Here is a 19470-nt window from a genome sequence, read left to right on the forward strand (position 1 = left end):
CATGAGTGGAAGCTGCAGGATTGGAAGTTGCTCTGGATGAATCAGTGAGTGAGCAGTGAGTGAATGTGAAGGCCTAGGACATGACTGTACATTATTATAGACTTTATAAACACTGTACACTTAGGCTGCAGTAAATCTGTGAAAAAATGTTTTTCTTCAATAATATATTAATCTTAGGTGTCTGTAACATTTTTACTGAACTATATTTATTTATTTTGAGACAAGGTCTGGCTCTATTTCCGAGGCTGAAGTGCAGTGGCATGGTCTTGGCTCACTGCAACCTCTGCCTCCTGGGTTCAAGCCATCTTTCCTCAGCCTCCTGAGTAGCTGGGACTATAGCTGCACGCCAGCACACCTGGTAATTTTTGTATTTTTTTGTAGAGACAGGGTTTCACCATGTTGCCCAGGCTGGTCTTGAACTTGTGAGCCTAAGTGATCTGCCCACCTTGTCCTCCCAAAGTGCGGAATTACAGGCATGAGCCACCATGCCTGGCCAATAAACTAGTTTTTAAAAACCTTTTGACTCTTTGGTAATAACAATTACCTTAAAACACAAATACATTGTACAGCTGTACAAAAATATTTTCTTTATAGCCTTTCCTATAAGCTTTTTTCTATTTTTATTTATTTTATTTTTTTACTTTTTAAATTTCTTTGTTAAAAACTCAGACATAGACACACACATTAGCGCTTAAGCCTACACAGGGTCAGGATCATCAATATCACTGTCTTCCACTTCTACATCTTGTCCCACTGGAAGTTCTTCCGGGGTAATAATAGCGTGAAGCTATCCTTTCTTATGATAACAATGCCTTCTTCTGGAAAAGCTCCTGAAGAACTTGTCTGAGGCTGTTTTACAGTTACATTTTTTTTTTAAATAAGTAGAAGTACACTCTAAAATAACGATAAGAAATGTCTCAGGATCCTTGGGGTGTTGCCTTTCCAGGCAGAAGCCTCTGTGGCCAGTGGCACCTTTGCCTGAGTTTTGCTTGAGCCCGCCGGGCTCGTTCTGCTCACTCGGCCTGGCAGGCAGTGCTGAGCTTGCACTATCAGCCCGGATTCCATGCCTGCCGAGGGAGAGTCAGGCACGGAGCAGCGAGAGGGTAGTGATGAGCAAATGTGGGGTCTGGCCACTGTGCACAGCCAGGCTGCTGCGGTGAGGCGGGCAGCTCCAGGCACCAGCACAGGCGCCTGCTCCGTGCAAGCCTGCGGCTGGAACAGATGCACTGCAAGTGGCTTCCACTGTGGGCACCGATGTCTGGATGAGGGGAATGCGGTGATGCCTGGAAGCTTGGAGATGTCAGAAACCGCAGAGCCCCAAAGAGGGTATCACAGCTCTGGCTCGGGGAGCACCTAGGTCTGGGCTCCCAGAAGGGCCACAGCTCTTCTCTCCTTCTCATCACCCGCAATGTGGTGAGCAGGGAGTTGAGTTTCAGCTCTGTTTGTGTTACAGCTCTTTCAGTCCCTCCATTCAATGGGTTTTGAGTTATTGTCCTGCATCCGGGAAGAAGGAGGTATGTGGACAACTGTAGGGTAAGCAAGGTGGAGAGGAGCTTTATTGAGTGACAGAATAGCTTTTGGGAGACCTGAAGTTGGTACCTCCTTTCTGTAGGTCATTCCAACGAGTGTCTGGCTCTCAGCAGAGAGGAGACCTGCAGTGGATAGCTCCTACCTGCAGGCAGGTCATCCTGACAAGTGTCCAGTTCTCAGCAGAGAGGAGACCCACAGTGTGTAGCTCCTTTCTGCAGGCAGATCATCCTGACAAATCGAGGAGACCTGAAGTAGGTAGCTCCTTCCTGCAGCTGGTAGTCCTGATGTCTGTGTGAGTCTGGCTGGGTCTGGGTTTTTATGGGCTCAGAAGGGAGTAAGTGCATGCTGATTGGTCCATGGGTGGCCATGAGTGGGCCTGGAAAAAGCACCATAAGTCCTCACTCTGGGCCACAGACTCCATCCAGAATGGACAACCTGGCCCCCAGGCTTCAGGCCGTCCCTGGCTTGAAGGTGGGGCTTCACCTGTCTTTTTCTGCCCAGGAGCCTGTCTGCCTCCTGCCACCATCAACATGTCATCCACAGTGCCCAGACTGTTCATGCCAAGGGGTGCCTGCAGGCCCATGCGGAGCCACCCTCAGACCTCCTTCAGCCTCCCTCCCATGCTCGTTGGCACCCCGAATTTGGAGAGGGCCAAGGAGGCAGGGGACTAGCATATCACACATGCGGTCAGGTCATGACAGCACCAGGCTTGGTTACAACATTGCTCCACCCCCAAGCAGGTGCTGGGAGTGGGGAGAGGCCAAGTAGCAGGAGCAGGCACTTTCAAGCGTGCTGGAGCAAGGGGTTTCCTGGGCCCTTGAGTGTGCAGGGATGCTGGGATCTGGAGCCCCAGCTGGGTGGCTGCAGCTGTGCCTGAACGCACGGGACTCCTGCCCTACTGACTTGGTAGGGGTCAGGGCTCCTGCCTATTCCTGGCCCCTGCTGGCTCCACGGAGTGCACGACCCCAGCGGTGCCTCCCCTGCTGCAGCCAGCATGTTTGCAGCAGCTGGTCCAGACGGGCCACTGCTGCCATCAGATGTATGATATAGTAAACACATACACCAGCAACCTAATTATTTATTATCATTATGAAGTATTATGTACTGTACATAATTGTATCTGCTAAACTTTTGTACAACTGGCAGCACAGGTTTGTTTACATTAGCATTACCACAAGTGCATGAGTAATGGATTGCACTATGACTTTACAATAGGTACAATGTCACAGCAATATGAATTTTTAAGCTCTATTATAATCTGATGGGGTCACTGATGTATATGCAGTCCATTGTTGACTAAAATGTCATTATGCAATGCATGACTGTATGTCCATAATGAAATCAATACATTAAGTGCTTTTGGGTATTACTGATACTGTTCTTAAAAAATTATATATGGGGCTTCCCTTGACACATAACACAATTTTAGATGAACCTCTTCTGTAATCAGTTAGTATGTGCACAAAGAATTCAATTACTTAACATGAGTTTACAAAAACTATTCAATATTTTTGTAACAACAACAAATCAGTTTAAGTTTATGTAGCAATAAGCCAAAGTTATAGAATGGCTCTTTCTGGTAATCTTTCAGGTTGTGTCAAATGTTTCTGTAAAACAAGGAGGCAGATGTTTGACTGATACATAAAACCAGTTATGTGACTTTGTAGACACCCTTCAGTGTTTTCTGTTATATTTCTTACTATCATGTCTGTGATGAGGGACCAATACTAAGAGTCTTATACTCAAAACTTGTAGGATTCACAATCAATTGTAAATTTAGAGCAGTGGTCAATGATCATTGCCACATATAAAGTTGTCATAATTTTAGTTGAATGCTTTGCTTGTTAAAGATGGTCACACTGATGGTAGCTCTTACTGCTAAATTTAATTTTACAGAGGCCATTAAGTGAACAAATGACTTATTAGCAAAGGACCAATTATAGCATTATTAAGGGAGAAATGAGAAATAGTATCTGAGTATTTTCTAAATTTGAATTTTAAATCTGAAGATCAAATGCAGTTCTTGTGTGTGTTTGGGTAAACAAGAGTTATTTCAAGGTAGTCTAGGAGAGTACCTTTTGTGATTTAGAAAAATAAGTCTGACCTTTATATTTCACTTTTTCCCATTAGCTAGACAATAATTCATGGTACCTAATCATTATATAAGATTCAGTAAAAAAAATTCCATTATAATATCAAAAAAGTAATCAGTAAGTTTTCCCACAAGTGGTTTTTTTTTACATCCTCTAACTCATGCATGTCATTTGCATGACAGCTGTGCATTTAGAATTGAGAAAACAGTAACAAAGCTTAATGAGATTTGTAAATTTTTATAATAAAAAACTCTTCAAGCAGCCAAACTCATTTTTGCAGTCATTTAAAACTCTGTTGCAGAAGGGACTTGATTTTGAATAAGTAACATTTTTCTTTCTCTTAATCAGACAGGAAATTTAGCAGATTTTTCTCTATACGGATTGTTAAACATTTCTTATAGTTGAGTGTGGTAGGCTGAATAACAATCCCTCAGAGATGTTCACGTCCTAATCCCTGGAATCTGTGACTATGTTATTTTACATGGAAAAAGGAGCTTCACAAATGTGATTAAGTTAAGGGTCTTCCATGGAGATATTATCCTGGATTATCTAGGTGGGTCCTATGTAGTTTTAAGGGTCTTTATAAGACGGATGCAGGAATATCAAGGTAAATAGTAGGAGATGTTACAAAGGAATACAGGTGGCTTCTAGAAGCTGGAAAAGCCAAGGAAATGGATTCAACCCCAGAGACTTCAGAAGGATCTAGCTCTGCAGGCACCTTGATTAAAGCCACATAAGACTCATTCTGGATTTCTGCTCTCTGGAACTGAAAGCAGATAAATTGTGTTGTTTCAAGCCACTAAGTTTATGGTAATTTATTACAGCAGCAATAGGAACTAATATGCTGCATCAGAGCTATGGTATATATGTGGAAATTATTGTACCATTTGGTGTGCATGTGTGAAAAACTGAGAGTAAGGCCAGTTAATTTTATAATTATTTGTTTATGTTATCAATCACCTTAAGAGTAGAGCTTCTTTCCTGAGAGCTGAAATGATGCCAACTTGATTGTTTAACTAACTCATGCATTCAAAAAAATTTTTTTTCTGCTTGGTAAACAAAACAGATATGACTCATACTTTTATACAAAATAGTGGAGAAAATGATAGGCATTAAGAGGATAATTTCACATTAATTTATTATATTTTTAGATTGTATAAGATGCTATAAGTATTCAACATGGGAAATTGATTTAGCCAGCGATACCAGAAAATGCTTTCTTGAAGAAATGTTGTTTAGCCAGGACATATAAAATCAGTAGGAGCCAGCAGAGCTTTTTGGCCATCTAAAATTTTTAAACAACTTTAAGAGATTTGAGAAGGGATTCATGGCTTTTAAAAAATATCTGGGGCACATGTAATCCCAGCACTTTGGGAGGCCAAGGCGGGCAGATCACTTGAGGTCAGGAGTTCAAGACCAGCCTGGCCAACATGGTGAATCCCTGTCTCTACTAAAAATACAAAAATTAGCTGGGCATGGTAGTGCAAGCCTGTAATCCTAGGCACATATAATCCCATCACTTGGGAGGCAGAGGCAGGAGAATTGCTTGAACCTGGGAGGCAGAGGTTGCAGTGAGCCATAATTGCACCACTGCACTCCAGCCTGGGCAACAGAGTGAGACTCTGTCTCAAAAATAAGTAAGTAAGTAAGTAAATAAATAAATAAATATCTGGGGCAATGTGAGAATGGATTGGAAGGAAAAAGATCTATAGAACATCAGTTGTGAGTGGCTAAATCAGTCTAAGAACATGATAATATGTTTTGACTAAGACAGTATGAATGGGAATAGAAGATTGAAGGGAAATTTAAGAAATAGAATTGACAGAAAGGGGAAGAGGGTGGAATGTGAAGAACATGCAACACATACAGCCCTAAGTTAAGCAGTAAAGAAAGGTGTTAACATCTCACTTATTCTGTCACATTTCATCTGTTATGCATAAATACAAATGCAAAGTTTTAAACAGAGTATAAATAAAAAGAGCCAGTACCTGGAAAATTCAAGTTTCTTATTGCCGAAGTGTAAGAAGGAGTTGTAGAATTGGAGATGGGGCAGAAGCCACTTCATGAGAGACCTTGTTTGCCATGACAAAGAGCTTGGACCTGATCCTGCAGCATGGCACACCACACAGTGGTTTGTAAGCAGGAAATATTTGTGCTTTAGAAGAACTCTCAAGGCAATGAAAAAAGACTAGAGGCCTTACTGTAAACAGGAAAGGAGGAGATGCAGAGGCACTGTGTATGAGTGAGAAGTACTGTAGGCTTGTGCCTTCAGGGAGTTCAGCAGGGATGGCTGAGGTCTTTCCAAAAGCTCAGGGTATGGGGTGAGGCCAGAAAACCTGAAGCATTCAAGAGATATCTAACAAGAGAGATGGTGGTGGTGCGATAAGATGAAAATGAAGGAAAAACCTACAGTTGGTTAGATAGGACCTTCCAAATGCCCATCTTGAGTATGGACATTTTGGGTCCATTTTGTCCAACTTGGATCAGGAGAGTGGCACCATCAACTAAGGTAGATAATATAGGAAAATTGGATGGTGTAGAAAGGAGATCAAGAGTGAGAATAATACGATAGCTATTATACAACACCCTTTTATTTAGTTTCATAAAGAAAATACGTCATCAGCGATGTCTATTGGTAGCATATCTCAGAGTGAAGATGTAAAACTATAGCTTTGAAAATGAAGCATGATTTCAATGTAGATTTCTACCGTATAATGTCTTTAATGTTTCATCATGAATTCATAGATGTATTTCCCATAGAATTTGTATAATTTCTCAGTGGTTATAAGGAGCTTGGATCCTATTTGAAAACTTATTTTATGAGTTACTCATTAATACCTGGAACCAGTGGTATTTTGGAACTGATTGATGCCAACCCATACCAGATGATTGTTAAACATTCAGAAAGTTTATTAATAACACAGTCAGTAAATATTAAATTACATAAACTTATAGCTAAATTAATTATATTAAAAACAAGATAACAAATATTCAAAACATCACTTCCTAATTATTTTACTACATTTTATGATAGCTGAGCTCTTGAGGTTATTTGCATTTATTGTATCTACATGGTGGAAATATTACATAGTGATGTGCTATTGAATATCTCTTCCCAACTCCATTTTCAACGATACCACTTTGATAGCTTGAAATCAGTCATGGTAGGAGTACTTCAATCATGGTAATGGTATCAAAGGATACCACGTTGATAGCTTGAAATCAGTCATGGTAGGAGTATTTGTAGCAAATGCTACAAATGAGGACTTGACTTATTGTTTTATTCATTGTGTAAAATTAAGAGAAGGATAGAGAAAAGATAAATAGGGCATATTAAATTAAAAAACATGTATGTCCTTAGCCATTACATTGCAAATGGCAAAAGAACGGGTGACCTTCTGCCAATACTTGAAAATTATTATCTGATTTGACAAATGATTTGCACATGTTGCTGTTGAATAAGCAAAGCTTCAACATATATCTTTGTCTCACTTTCATCATAAATATTAATGTAAATCTTTTCATAAAGATCAACCAGCTTTCATGCCAGAACTATACTCATTCATCACTTGCAACCAAAGTTTGGCTACTGATATAAGAGTTTGGCAAAAATCAATGAAAATGTTCTGGAGAATCAATTGCCTTTATGTGTGTACCTATAAAAATTGTAGGTACATTTTATTATTTGTAAGTTGTGTGATATACATCCTTATACCAGTACAATTTATAATGAACTATATATGATATATATGTGTGTGTCTGTGTGTATTTGTGTATGTACACACAGACACACACAGACTTTTCTTTCTTTTTTTCCCCAGAGAGCTTATTAAACATTTACCAGCAAACCACTCTGCCTGGAAGTCTATCTACAAAAGATATTTAAAGTGCCATTACACAGTTTTAAAAAAATTCCAGGAGTCCTAATTCTCACTTCTATTGATTCTAAGCCTTATATTAATGGTTTTAGGTTCTCCAGGAAAGACATGATCTAGATTCACCTATCCTGGACACTCTCTCAAGAGGAAAGAAAGTTTCCTCCTAGATAGCCCTAATCTTAACCTCTCCCTAGATCTACTGTGAGAAACAGAGGAAGAGGTATGAACAGATGTATTATAATCACCAAGACTCATGCCCCCTGTTGCTGGGGCCCCTAGGAATTATAGGTAATGTAAAATATGGCAGAGACTGAAGGCATCTAGAAGACCCATAATAAAGAGCTTGGACCTGATGCTACAGCATGGCACACCACACAATGGTTTGTAAGCAGGAAAGATTTGTGCCTTACAAGAACTCTCATGGCAATGAAGCATGAGCAGCTGGCATGGGGTTTTCCTCAAGTCAGACTGAGGAGGCAATTCGGCCTTGTCGGAGGCTCCAGAAATTCCATAGTTAATTAGGAAATTTTGCTATTTTTTCCTTTAACTTTCTTAGAAATTTAAGCCTTGAGATTGACATTGGGATGAACAGCCTACCTTCTTTAAGAAGAGCTTAGGAAAGCCTGCCTCTTAGAGAAAGAATGCTAGCTTAGGTGGAGCTTGTATATGATCCTGCGTAATTCTGAGATTTCTCCTTCCTTCTCTTAGAAAACGTCCTAATAAGAAGATAAGGTGACCGAATAAGGGGATTACTTGGCAGAGATATGAGAGAACTGGGTTCTTGACCCCACTTTGCCATGAACTTGGGTAAGTTACTAAGTCTGTCAGTATCATGGTTCCTTGTCTGTATAACTAGCAACCTTTACAGAGAGCTTCTCTTCCAATGTTGATACTTTTTATTTCTAAGGATATATTTTTTAAACAATTTCTCTTACAGTTTTCTCAAAATTAAATAGTATTTTTTCAGTGATAAAGTGAGTATACTGAGAATTGAAGAGATGGAAAATACAGTTATGTCTCCCATAATAAATGGGTAAAAATGCCCAAGCATCAAAACCGTGGGCTGCTCTAACCTGGAGAGATGTCTGATGGTGACATGAAAAGATGCACTTTTTAGGAAAAATCTCAGCCTGAAATTTATTCTCTTGCCAAAATTCAGAGCAACTATGTTGTTTAACACATAATTACAGAGTAATTTCTTTTTATGTCATTTTGACTATTTCATTTTATTTTTGGACGGGCTGCCCAGTTGGAGTGGAGCACAGTTGTCCATGCATGATTACTAATAACATCATTATCCTGCTATGTAATATGGTTTGTTTACTTATATCTAAGATCTGAAGTTTATTTATAAAATGTTTTATTGTTAAAAGTGGTTTTTGCTTCTTATCATGAGTATAAAACTGTATACATTTTTATAACACAAATCTCATAATTTTAGACAGACATAATAGTAACTACAATTTGTTAAGCATATTTATACAACAGAATGTGTACTAGGTATTTTATATATTTATTTCATTTAAGTTTTACAATAAGCTGGGTAGGTATTATCAGCAGTTTGCTGAAAAAGTATCTGAATTCCAGGACATAGGTAACTCACTTAAGGTTGCACATCTAGTATATGGCAGGGTGAGAGGCCCACAAATATCAAGTTCAACATAACTATTCAGTGCTTAAAATTCTCTGTATTATATGAATCTCTATCTTCATTTTAATATCTGCCAGTATATCATTGTAAAGATATAATTAATTTTATTTTAATATTTTTATTATACAAAATTTATTTAATCATTTCACCTTTTTCTAATTTTTGTTAGTGTCAACAGTGTTGCAATTAATATATTTGTATACTTGCTTATATTTACTTTTTCCGATGAAAATGTAAAAGTGAATTCAATTTATCAATAAATATACTTATTAAAAGTTTGAAATACACATTTAATTGCCCTGCAGAACATTTCTACTGGGAATATGCAAGGGTACCTATTTTCTTACACCCATGTCAACACTGAATAGCAGAAACTGTTAAAATTTTTCTAATCTGATACATCAAAATGTTTATCTTCATTGAATTTCAAACTTCTCATTACTAACAGGGGGACTTCTAAGAATTCCTTCTTTAGATTTCATCTTTAATAAATTTTTAATACATTTAGTCCATTTTTCTAATAACTTGTTTTTTTATTCATAAAATGTCTTTATTAAATAAATCTCTTGCCTATCATGTAGAATGTAAATACTTTTTACATCTTCTCATTTAAATATCAAATGTGTTTGTACTTTTCTGTGTAGAAATGTTACATATTTGTGAATTTTATAAATCAGTCTTTTACTTTATAGATTCTGACTCTGGGATCATGATTAAAAATATCTTTCCTATTCCAACAGTGTAAAATTCTTCAACTATATTTTCTCTTAGAACTTTGTATTACTTTTCTTGTTGCCATAACAAATTACCACACGTTTAGTGGCTTTAAACAATATCCACTTAGGGCTGGGCACGGTGGCTCACGCCTGTGATCCCAGCACTTTGGGAGGCCCAGGCGGGTGGATCACCTGACGTCGGGAGTTAGAGACCAGCCTGGACAACATGGTGAAACCCCATCTCTACTAAAAATACAACAATTAGCCAGGTGTGGTGGCGGGCTCCTGTAATCCCAGCTACTCCGGAGGCTGAGGCGGGAGAATGGCTTGAACCCAGGAAGCAGGGGTTGCAGTGAGCCGAGATTGAGCGAAACTCCGTCTCAACAACAAACAAACAAACAAACAAACAAACAAACAAAAAACAGTATCCACTTATCTTCTCACCTCCTTTAAGTCAGAGATCTGGATACAGTGTGGCTCAGCCGGGTCCTCTGCTTAGGATCCCACAAGGCTGAAATCAAGGTGTGGAAAGCTACATTTCTTTTTGGAGGCTCTGGGAAGGAATCAGTCTCCAAGCTCTTTCAGGTTGCGGGCTAATTCAGTTTCTTGTTCTCGTAGTGTTAAGGCTCCTTTGCTGGAAGTTGGAAGGTCCTGGTTTGGCTCCTACTGGAGCCTGTAGTCTTCTTTCATGCTTTCCAGTTGACCTCCCTCAGGCAGCAGCAGTTCTAGTTCCTCTCATGCTTTATGTGCTGCTGATTTATGTATACTATCTAATTTAATATTTACAGCAACTTTATGGGCTGATTATTATCCTCATCTCATGGACGAGAAAACTGTGAGGTTAAATAACTTGTCCAGGGTCTTATAGCCAGTAAGGGAAGATATAAGACTTGACAGCTCACATCTCTTATTTTACTTCTTCATAAGATATAAACAAAAACTGCCAGGGCCGTCTATTAATTACATAATTAAGGGTAGTCAGGTCTACTCAGATAAGTATCATCTAATATTTGTGAGGAGTCTACATTTAAAACCATCATTTAAAAAATGGTTATGGAACTTTCCTTTTACCCATTCGTGTCTCATTTTTTTTTGGTAGCAGAGAAGTGCTCATATAGTAAACAACTATTACTTCACTGGTATGTGTCCTCACCCTACCCCTTTTGTAAGGTAAGATATTCATGATAATAAACACGAGTTTATGATTCTCATAATATACTAGAATAAACTGAGAGTTCAATCAGTGTTCAACAATAAAAAATGACTTTTTTTTTAAACCCTGGTGACAATAAAGTGCCTCAAAAGTGATTAGTTTTTGTGGAAGAAAAGCATGGCAGAAAGTGATAGTCTCAGGCAGAGCTTTCGCTTTACTTCGGGAATAGGTACATCACATCAGAGGTGGCATAATTTACCTCCTTGGAGTGGGTGAACATAAGCATCTGTTATATATGGTATTCTAAGAAGATACTAAATTCCCTTTTGATAGCTCTCTCTGTTTCTTTCAATGCAAATACCTAACATATTTAAATGATACAAGAGTCTTTTAAATCCTTTTTAAGCTCATTGCCTATTGATTCCATCATAAGGGTCACTAATATATGATGCCATTCCTGGAACTGTAAATGGCAGGAACTCAATGAAATTAATTTTAGAAGTTAATGTAAAAAAATTTATTAAAAGACTAGAATGCTTTTTTTCTATCAAATAATAATAAAACACACAATTGATTCTATTACCATTTCTGCTTTGTTTTCAGGGAAAGGTCAGAATTAAACGTGATGCTAAGTCATGGTTACTGCATTCGATTTGATGGTTATCATGTTACTTTCTAACTATGTTTAAGGGCCTGGAGTTTTATATGTATGCTTTTTAACAGCCTTATACTAAATAAATCTTTTTTTGGTAAGCCAACTGAAATCCAGTTTGACAATCAGGAAGAAAGATGTAAGTTAAATATTGTAAAATATCTTCTTCCTCCATCGTTGGGATTTCCTCGACTACCAAAGGCCAGCATTTTCATATTTAGATTTCTAATTTTTTTGGAATTAAACAGAATGAAAAACTCTCATGATGGGTGCCATAAAATTCAATTGCCTAACAAGAGTTTCAACAGGATATGAAAGCAGCTCAGACTGTTCAAATTTCTTGGTGGAGTATAACTATCTGCATGTTTATATTAGAGAATGAATCTTTAGCAGAGTTTAAATAAAAAACCTTCCTTCTATACCATCTCACCCCTACCAAACAGATTCAAGAAACAACTAAAACACAAATAAGCGAGCAAGCAACATATGCAGCATCCAGAATTCCATCTTTCTCATTGTGTCCTTGCTATGGTTGACAGCAGAGATGAACAGGCCTTCCTCTAGACTTCTTTAATTACTGCAATGATTCCAGCCACATGTCCCTAATTACATGCCTAAGTCACTGAAACAGGTCACTCTGGGGACTCAAAAATCCCCTACACATAAGAACACTGATTCCCTACCAGGCATTCATAATTCTGACTTAGCAGAACAGGAGAAACTATCACCTAAATGATCATTAAACTTTTGTCTTGAAAGTAAATTCAGTCGGCCGGGCACAGTGGCTCACGCCTGTAATCCCAGCACTTTGGGAGGCTGAGGTGGGTGGATAACGAGGTCGGGAGATCGAGACCATCCTGGCTAACATGGTGAAATCCTGTCTCTACTAAAATACAAAAAATTAGCCAGGCGTGGTGGCGGGCGCCTGTAGTCCCAGCTACTCAGGAGGCTGAGGCAGGAGAATGGCCTGAACCCGGGAGGCGGAGCTTGCAGTGAGCCGAGATCGTGCCACTGCACTCTAGCCTGGGTGACAGAGCCAGACTCAGTCTCAAAAAAAGAAAGTAAATCCAGTACATCAGAAACTTGTAGCATACTATAAACTATTGAAATACATGTATGTAGAAAGACTTGACATACACAAGTATAATAACTTCCAGTTTTTTATGGATTTTTAACAACAAATGTGGCTCAAATATTTTATAATTGGTCCCTCAGATTGAGATTTATCATCTTGGTGTAGAATTGTGTATCTTTGCTCAGAGCAAACAGTAAACATTTATTTATGGATCTGTAAGTATCATAAAGGCCATTGTCTTTTTGGTCTTTAAATAGACATATTATGAGCTTCAAAGCATCTCTTTAAATAACCGAGATTGTGAGATTTTACCTGGACTTTTTGACAGACTTGACACACCTTTTCCAGAAACAAGTCATACCTACTTGGTGTTCAGTTTGGTTAGAGCTCTTACAGTCTGTCAGCTACCTTTGTGGAAAAGGAGGCTATATTTGGAAAGGAGTCGGTAAGCCTCAGCTCTTAATTGTTTTACTTGCCAAAAAAGCAGAATTCTGTTGAAGTTTTGACAGCTGTGCCTTGTCATGGAGAAAAATCTTCTATAAGAAAACAAAGGAGCATTTATCTCTACCATACATTATGCTCTAATAATGTGCATAATCCGTCTATCATTTTAAAAACAGTGTACATAGTTTTAAATAACTCTACCAAGAAACACCATATCAAGGAGCTTTTTCTCCTTATTTTGGCTTTTTAAAAATCATGAAAATATTTTTGCTTAGGGGAAAAGAGAAGATAATTATAGATGGATCAATTTCAAGTATGTTGGGGCAGATTTACAAAGAATACTTTTCTCAGTTTTTGCAGAAGCTTGTTTCTATAGCTGACACAGCTGGAATTTAGGCATTTGTATCATTTCTATAGTCATTTAACATAAAAACTCTACTCTGTTATGTAATTATAGCTTCAGATTAAAGTCCAGATTTCCTTGTACAAGTGTTCATGACTCTTAACTTCAAAACCAATAATTTTGTGTTTTGACAAGATGACTTTCTGAAAAGACTGACCACAACTCAAACTCTGTCTCTTCTCTTGGTATAGTATTAGGGAGAATAAACAGGAGCCTTTTGGAAAATTAGTACAGCAGGGATGCATTCTTCTCCAGAAACTCAGCTATGCCAGTCATATTACATGATGATCTTCTAAAACTAAATTAAATCTAACTTCAAATGGCAAGAAATGCAAACTCAGTTATTATCAGGTCTTCTTTTTCCCCATCCTGTGACAATTTACCAGAGTTCTTAGAGTTTCACAATGCAAGAGGACCCTCTGTGCTTCAGACTGTGAACCCAGAAAATCGGAGGCAGGTCTCAGTTAATTTAGAAAGTTTATTTTGCTAAGGTTGAGGATGCACCTGTGACACAGCCTCGGGAAGTCGTGAGGACATGTGCCCAGGTGGTTGGGGCACAGCTTGGTTTTATACATTTTAGGGAGACATGAGACATCAGCCAGTATAAGTTAGAAGTACATTGGTTCCATCTGGAAAGGCGGGACAACTTGAAGCAAAGTCAGGAAGGCTCAAAACCGGAAGGGAGCTTCAGGTCACAGATAGTTGAGACACAAAGGGTTGCATTCTTCTGAGTTTCTGATTAGCCTTTCCAAAGGAGGCAATCAGATATGCATCTATCTCAGTGAGCAGAGGGGTGACTTTGAATAGAATGGAAGGCAGGTTTGCCCTAAGCAGTTTCCAGCTTGAGTTTTCCTTAGTGAATTTGGGGGCCCAAGATATTTTCCTTTCAGAAGACTATATATGTCACTACTGATTGTCCAAGTTATGATTCCTTGATAGTGAGAGGCTCTGATGTGCTAAGGAATGGGTAGGTATGTTTTTTAGGGCTGAGCATCCCAGGGCCTCCTCCTAGCCATCACTGTAGTACCTCAGTGATACGCAGCAATTTCTTTCCCTCTGAGTGCTTGTCATCCAAGGACCCCAAGTGGGAATGAGATGACGGCTTTCTCATCTCAGGGAACCCACAATTCTCTATCACTTTCCTAATTGTGGGAAAGCTCACTAGCTCTCATTACTTCCTGTCTTTCTCCTTTTTACTACCTCAGAAAGTACTTAGCAGGATGTCCTTATTAGGCTTACCTTTTGAAACAAAGAACTCCACCCCTCCCCGCACTGGTCTGGGCTATTCTGCTTTTCCACCTGTAACATGAGCTAGTAGGGAAGGCTACATTAAGGAAGAACTCATTTCTTAGGGAAAATGAGAAGGGAAAGACATAAAACTCAGGAAGGAAAAACACACAAGAGAAAAACACAATACCTCGAAAAGTCCTCTCTCTGTGAATTTGGGCAAGGTTTTTAAGCTCTGTATACTTTGTTTTTTTATCTATAAAATAGAATAATCATTGTACTCACTATTAAGATTAATGTATGTAACACATTCACATAGCGATGATTAATATTCTCACTCTTATCTTTGAGAGAGTAGAGCATCGTGTAGAGGAGCATCACCTCTTAAACCAGACTCTTTGAGTTCATATCCCTGAGCTAGTTGATTTTGGTAGAATTTACTGGTTGCAGTTTAAGTTTCCTTGTCTGTGTAATGGGGATAAAAAAATGAACAATCCGATATGGCTTGGCTCTGTATCCCCACCCAAATCTCATTTTGAATTGTTATAATCCTCACATGTCAAAAGCAGGACCAGGTGGAGATAATTTAATCATTAGGGGCGGTTTCCCCCATGCTGTTCTCATAATTGAATCATTAGGGGCGGTTTCACCCATGCTGTTCTCGTGATAGTGAGTTAGTTCTCATGAGAGCTGATGGTTTTATGAGAGGCTTCCCCCTTCGCTCAGCACTCATTCTCTCTCCTGCCATCCTGTGAAGAGGTGCCTTTCGCCATGATTGTAATTTTCCTGGGGCCTCCCCAGCCATGCGAAACTGTGAGTCAATTAAACTTCTTTTTGTTATAAATGACCCAGTCTTGGCTGTTTCTTCATAGCAGCATGAGAACGGACTAATACACAATATCATAGATTTTTGTGGTGTAAAGTGCTTTGGAGAGTACCTTGTGCAAAGGAAGAGCTTCATAAATGATATTAACTTTTTAAATCATCTTGCTGCACTAGTGCTAATGATTTTAAGCCATGTGTGGTGCTTCTCAAACCAGCCCTGTGCAGATTAGTCTGTCAAGATTAAGCTCTGGGCAATTTTGTGACGATTTTATATCTCTTTTTAATGTTTTCAAATTTCTCATGGAAATTCATCTTTTAATTAGAAGTCTGCAAACTACATGTTTACATTGTTTGAATCTGTTTAACTCTAAGCTAAATAATATTGTGCACACAGAGGTTGCTGAATTCTGAAAATACTGATGACTATTACTGTGTATATACCCAAAGGAATATAAATCATTCTATCATAAAGACACATGCATGTGTATGTGCATTGCAGCACTATTCACAATAGCAAAGACATGGAATCAAACTAAATGCCCGTCAGTGCTAAACTGGATAAAGAAAATGTGGTACATATACATCGTGGAATACTATGCAGATAAAATAAGGATTGAGATCATGTTCTTTGTGGAACATTGATGGAGCTGGAGGCCATTATCTTTAGCAAACTAAGGCAGGAACAGAAAACCAAATACTGCATGTTTTCACTTATAAGTGGAAGCTAAATGGACACATAGAGGGGAACACATACGCTGGGGCCTGTCGGTTGGAGGGAGAGGATCAGGAACAATAACTAATTGGTACTAGGCTTAATACCTGAGTGATGAAATAATCTGTACAATGAACCCCCATGACACATGTTTACTTATGTAGCAAACCTGCACATGTACCCCTGAACTTAAAAGTTAAAAAAAAATCAGAAGACAATACTACAAATACAGAATATATGCCTGTGAACTATAAAAATAAAAATATTTTCTGAATAAATAAATTCAATGATTTTGAGACAGTAGAGAAAAAACTAATGACTAATGTGGAAAGTAGAAGTAGAGAATTACCATAGCAAATAAAGGCAGCATAGAAAATCAAAGAAAAGTGATTTCAGAAAGTCAAATCTAGAAAATCTAATTTTTTTTTAAGGATTAGAAAATTCTTATAACATCAACAGATTATTAGGATCTACAATAATGATCAAGACATTTTAAATTATTTTAATCTTTGCTACCATGGCTCATATTATCAAGTTCAGAAGACATCTAAAACAAATTGGATTATTGTTCTTTGTCCATCTAATAGGTATACAATAAAAACGTGTTAAGATATATATATAAAATATTGAAATATGTCTATATCTCCTTGATATGAGATCAGTGGGTAGATTCTAAAAATCTCTTGATAAATCCACCTTCTGACCTTACAACAAATATATAACTTGATATATTTGATAGATGACCAGTATGCAGTTAAGCCCTCAATTAACATTGCTGATAGCTTCTTGGGAATTGTGACTTTAAGTGAAAAAAACTTACAACCAATTTTACCACAGGCTAACTGATATAAGCAAAAGTTCAGTTCCTATGACATATTTCTGGTCACAAAAACATCATCAAACTTCAAAACAAAGACCCAAAACACTTCTAATATTAAGCATTGAAATACATGTGAGCTTTACATACATTGAAAGACAGTTAGTAAAAACAAGTAACATGATCATTTTCCCAATTTTTCATGAGTCAGCGAGTGGGAGTGATTGTAGTGGTGGATTAAATCAGGAAATAAATGCTTGAAAAGTGAAAATTATAGGGAGCACTTCCTCCCACCTTGAAGTTCAAAAACAATCACAAATATGGTAGGCTCTCTGAGCACTTTCCTACCACATCGTTTTAGTGTCATGCATTTGTATGAATATTGTATCCTTTACAGATTTTTATTTTACAATGATTTGAACTCATTCATTTTCCAACCTGCTTATTCCAGTTCAAGGTTACCGGTGGCTGGAGCCTATCCCATGGGCTCAGGGTGGAAGGTGGGAACCCGCCCTGGACACAATGCCATCTCATCACAGGGTGCACTCACACACACACCCACATTCACTCATTCTGGGCCAGTTTACCCAATGTGCACATCTTTGGGCCGTGGGAGGAAACTGGAGCATTCAGAGAAAACCTACACAGACATGGTGAAGATGTGCAAACCACACAGGCAGTGGTTCTTCTGACAGGGAAGCAATTATTGTTTTTCATCAATGTTATAAACAACATTGAAGGAAATGTTGTTATTAGAGAATCTGCTATATATCTATCTATATCTATAGTAGTCTATATCTATAATCTTTATCCATATCTAGCTATATCTATATATCTCAATAAAATACATTTTTATTGTTATACATATTTGATTAACAAAGAATCATGAATCAATTTGTTTTAGAAGTCTTCTGAACTTGAGAATACGTATCACAGTAACAAAGATTAAAATAATTTGAATTGTCCTGAGTTTTTGCCCTCTCTTATTGATTAAAAACTTCACCCTACCAGCACTTCCAACAACAGCAGCAACAAATGTAAGTGTTGGGTAAGTCAGGGTCATGGATACAGTTGAATAAATTCTGGAGATGATTTACTAAATTTAATGAAGGATATGTCTAAGTGACAGCAGACTTTGAGTTTTATATATATATGTTTTTGTTGATATGTAATAATTGCACATATTTATGGTATACATGTGGCATACGATACATGCATATTCAGTGTGTAGTGATCTAATCAGGGTAATTAAGATATTCATCACCTCAAACATTTATCATTTATTTGTGTGAGGAACATTCCAAATCTCTTCTGGCTATTTTGAAATATACAACAAATTCTTGTTAACTGTAGTCACCCTACTATACTATTGAACACTAGAACTTATTCCTTCTATCTAACTGTATTTTTGCACCCATTAACTAACCTCTCTTCATTATTCTCTTCGTTCTATCTTTCCCAGTCTCTGGTAAGTGTCATTCTAGTCTCTACATCCATGAGATCCACTTATTTTTTAAGCTCCCACATAAGTAAGAACATGCAATATTTGTCTTTCTGAGCCTGGTTTATTTCACTTATGACCTTATTTCACAATGACCTCGATTTCCATCCATGTTACTGCAAATGACAAAATTTTATTTTATGGCTGAATAATAGTCCATTGTGTGTGTGTGTGTGTGTGTTTGTGTGTGTGTGCATACATATATACACCACATTTTCTTTATCCATTCATTCATTTATGGGCATTTAGGTTGATTCCATATTTTGGCTATTGTAAATAGTGCTTCAATAAAGATGATAATGAGTTATAGTTTTTCCAAAACAAATACTAGATTTGTAACATTTAAAATGCTAATTTTTAAAGAATTTTATTATTTACTTATTTTTAACATTTCAATAGATTTAGGAGAACAGGTGGTATTTGGTTACATGTATAAGTTCTTTGGTGGTGATTTCTCAGGTTTTGGTGCACCCATCACCCAAGCAGTGTACACTGCATCCAATGTGTAGTTTTTCATTCCTCACCCACTTCCCACCCTTTCCCCTGAATCCCTGAAGTCCATTGTATCATTCTTATGACTGTGTCCTTGTAGCTTAGCTCCCGCTTATAAGTGAAAACCTACGATGTTTGGTTTTCCATTCCTGAGTTACTTTACTTAGAATAATGGTCTCTAACTCCATCCATGTTTCAGTGAATGCCATTATTTCATTCCTTTTTATGTGTGAATAGTATTCCGTAGTATATATGTACCACATTTTCTTTATGCACTCATTGATGGGGATTGGGGCTGATT

The 19470-nt window shown here is 37.8% G+C and overlaps 2 long non-coding RNA genes across 3 annotated transcripts in view; one reads left to right on the plus strand and one right to left on the minus strand.

Moving 5' to 3' along the window:
- The window catches only part of LOC107986324 (uncharacterized), a 487144-nt gene that overhangs the window by 180811 nt on the left and 286863 nt on the right, over positions 1-19470 (plus strand). The window contains exon 2 of one of the 2 annotated variants that reach the window (XR_001741911.2): positions 8210-8308. This is a non-coding gene — a long non-coding RNA (uncharacterized LOC107986324). Of the gene's footprint in view, positions 1-8209; positions 8738-19470 lie in introns of those variants that run through there. The other variant, XR_001741912.2, reaches the window with a different exon arrangement.
- The window catches only part of LINC02233 (long intergenic non-protein coding RNA 2233), a 111282-nt gene that overhangs the window by 54631 nt on the left and 37181 nt on the right, over positions 1-19470 (minus strand). The window lies entirely within an intron of this gene.

This window comes from Homo sapiens, chromosome 4 (assembly GCF_000001405.40).
Source record: "Homo sapiens chromosome 4, GRCh38.p14 Primary Assembly".
In the NCBI taxonomy this organism is placed as follows: domain Eukaryota; kingdom Metazoa; phylum Chordata; class Mammalia; order Primates; family Hominidae; genus Homo; species Homo sapiens.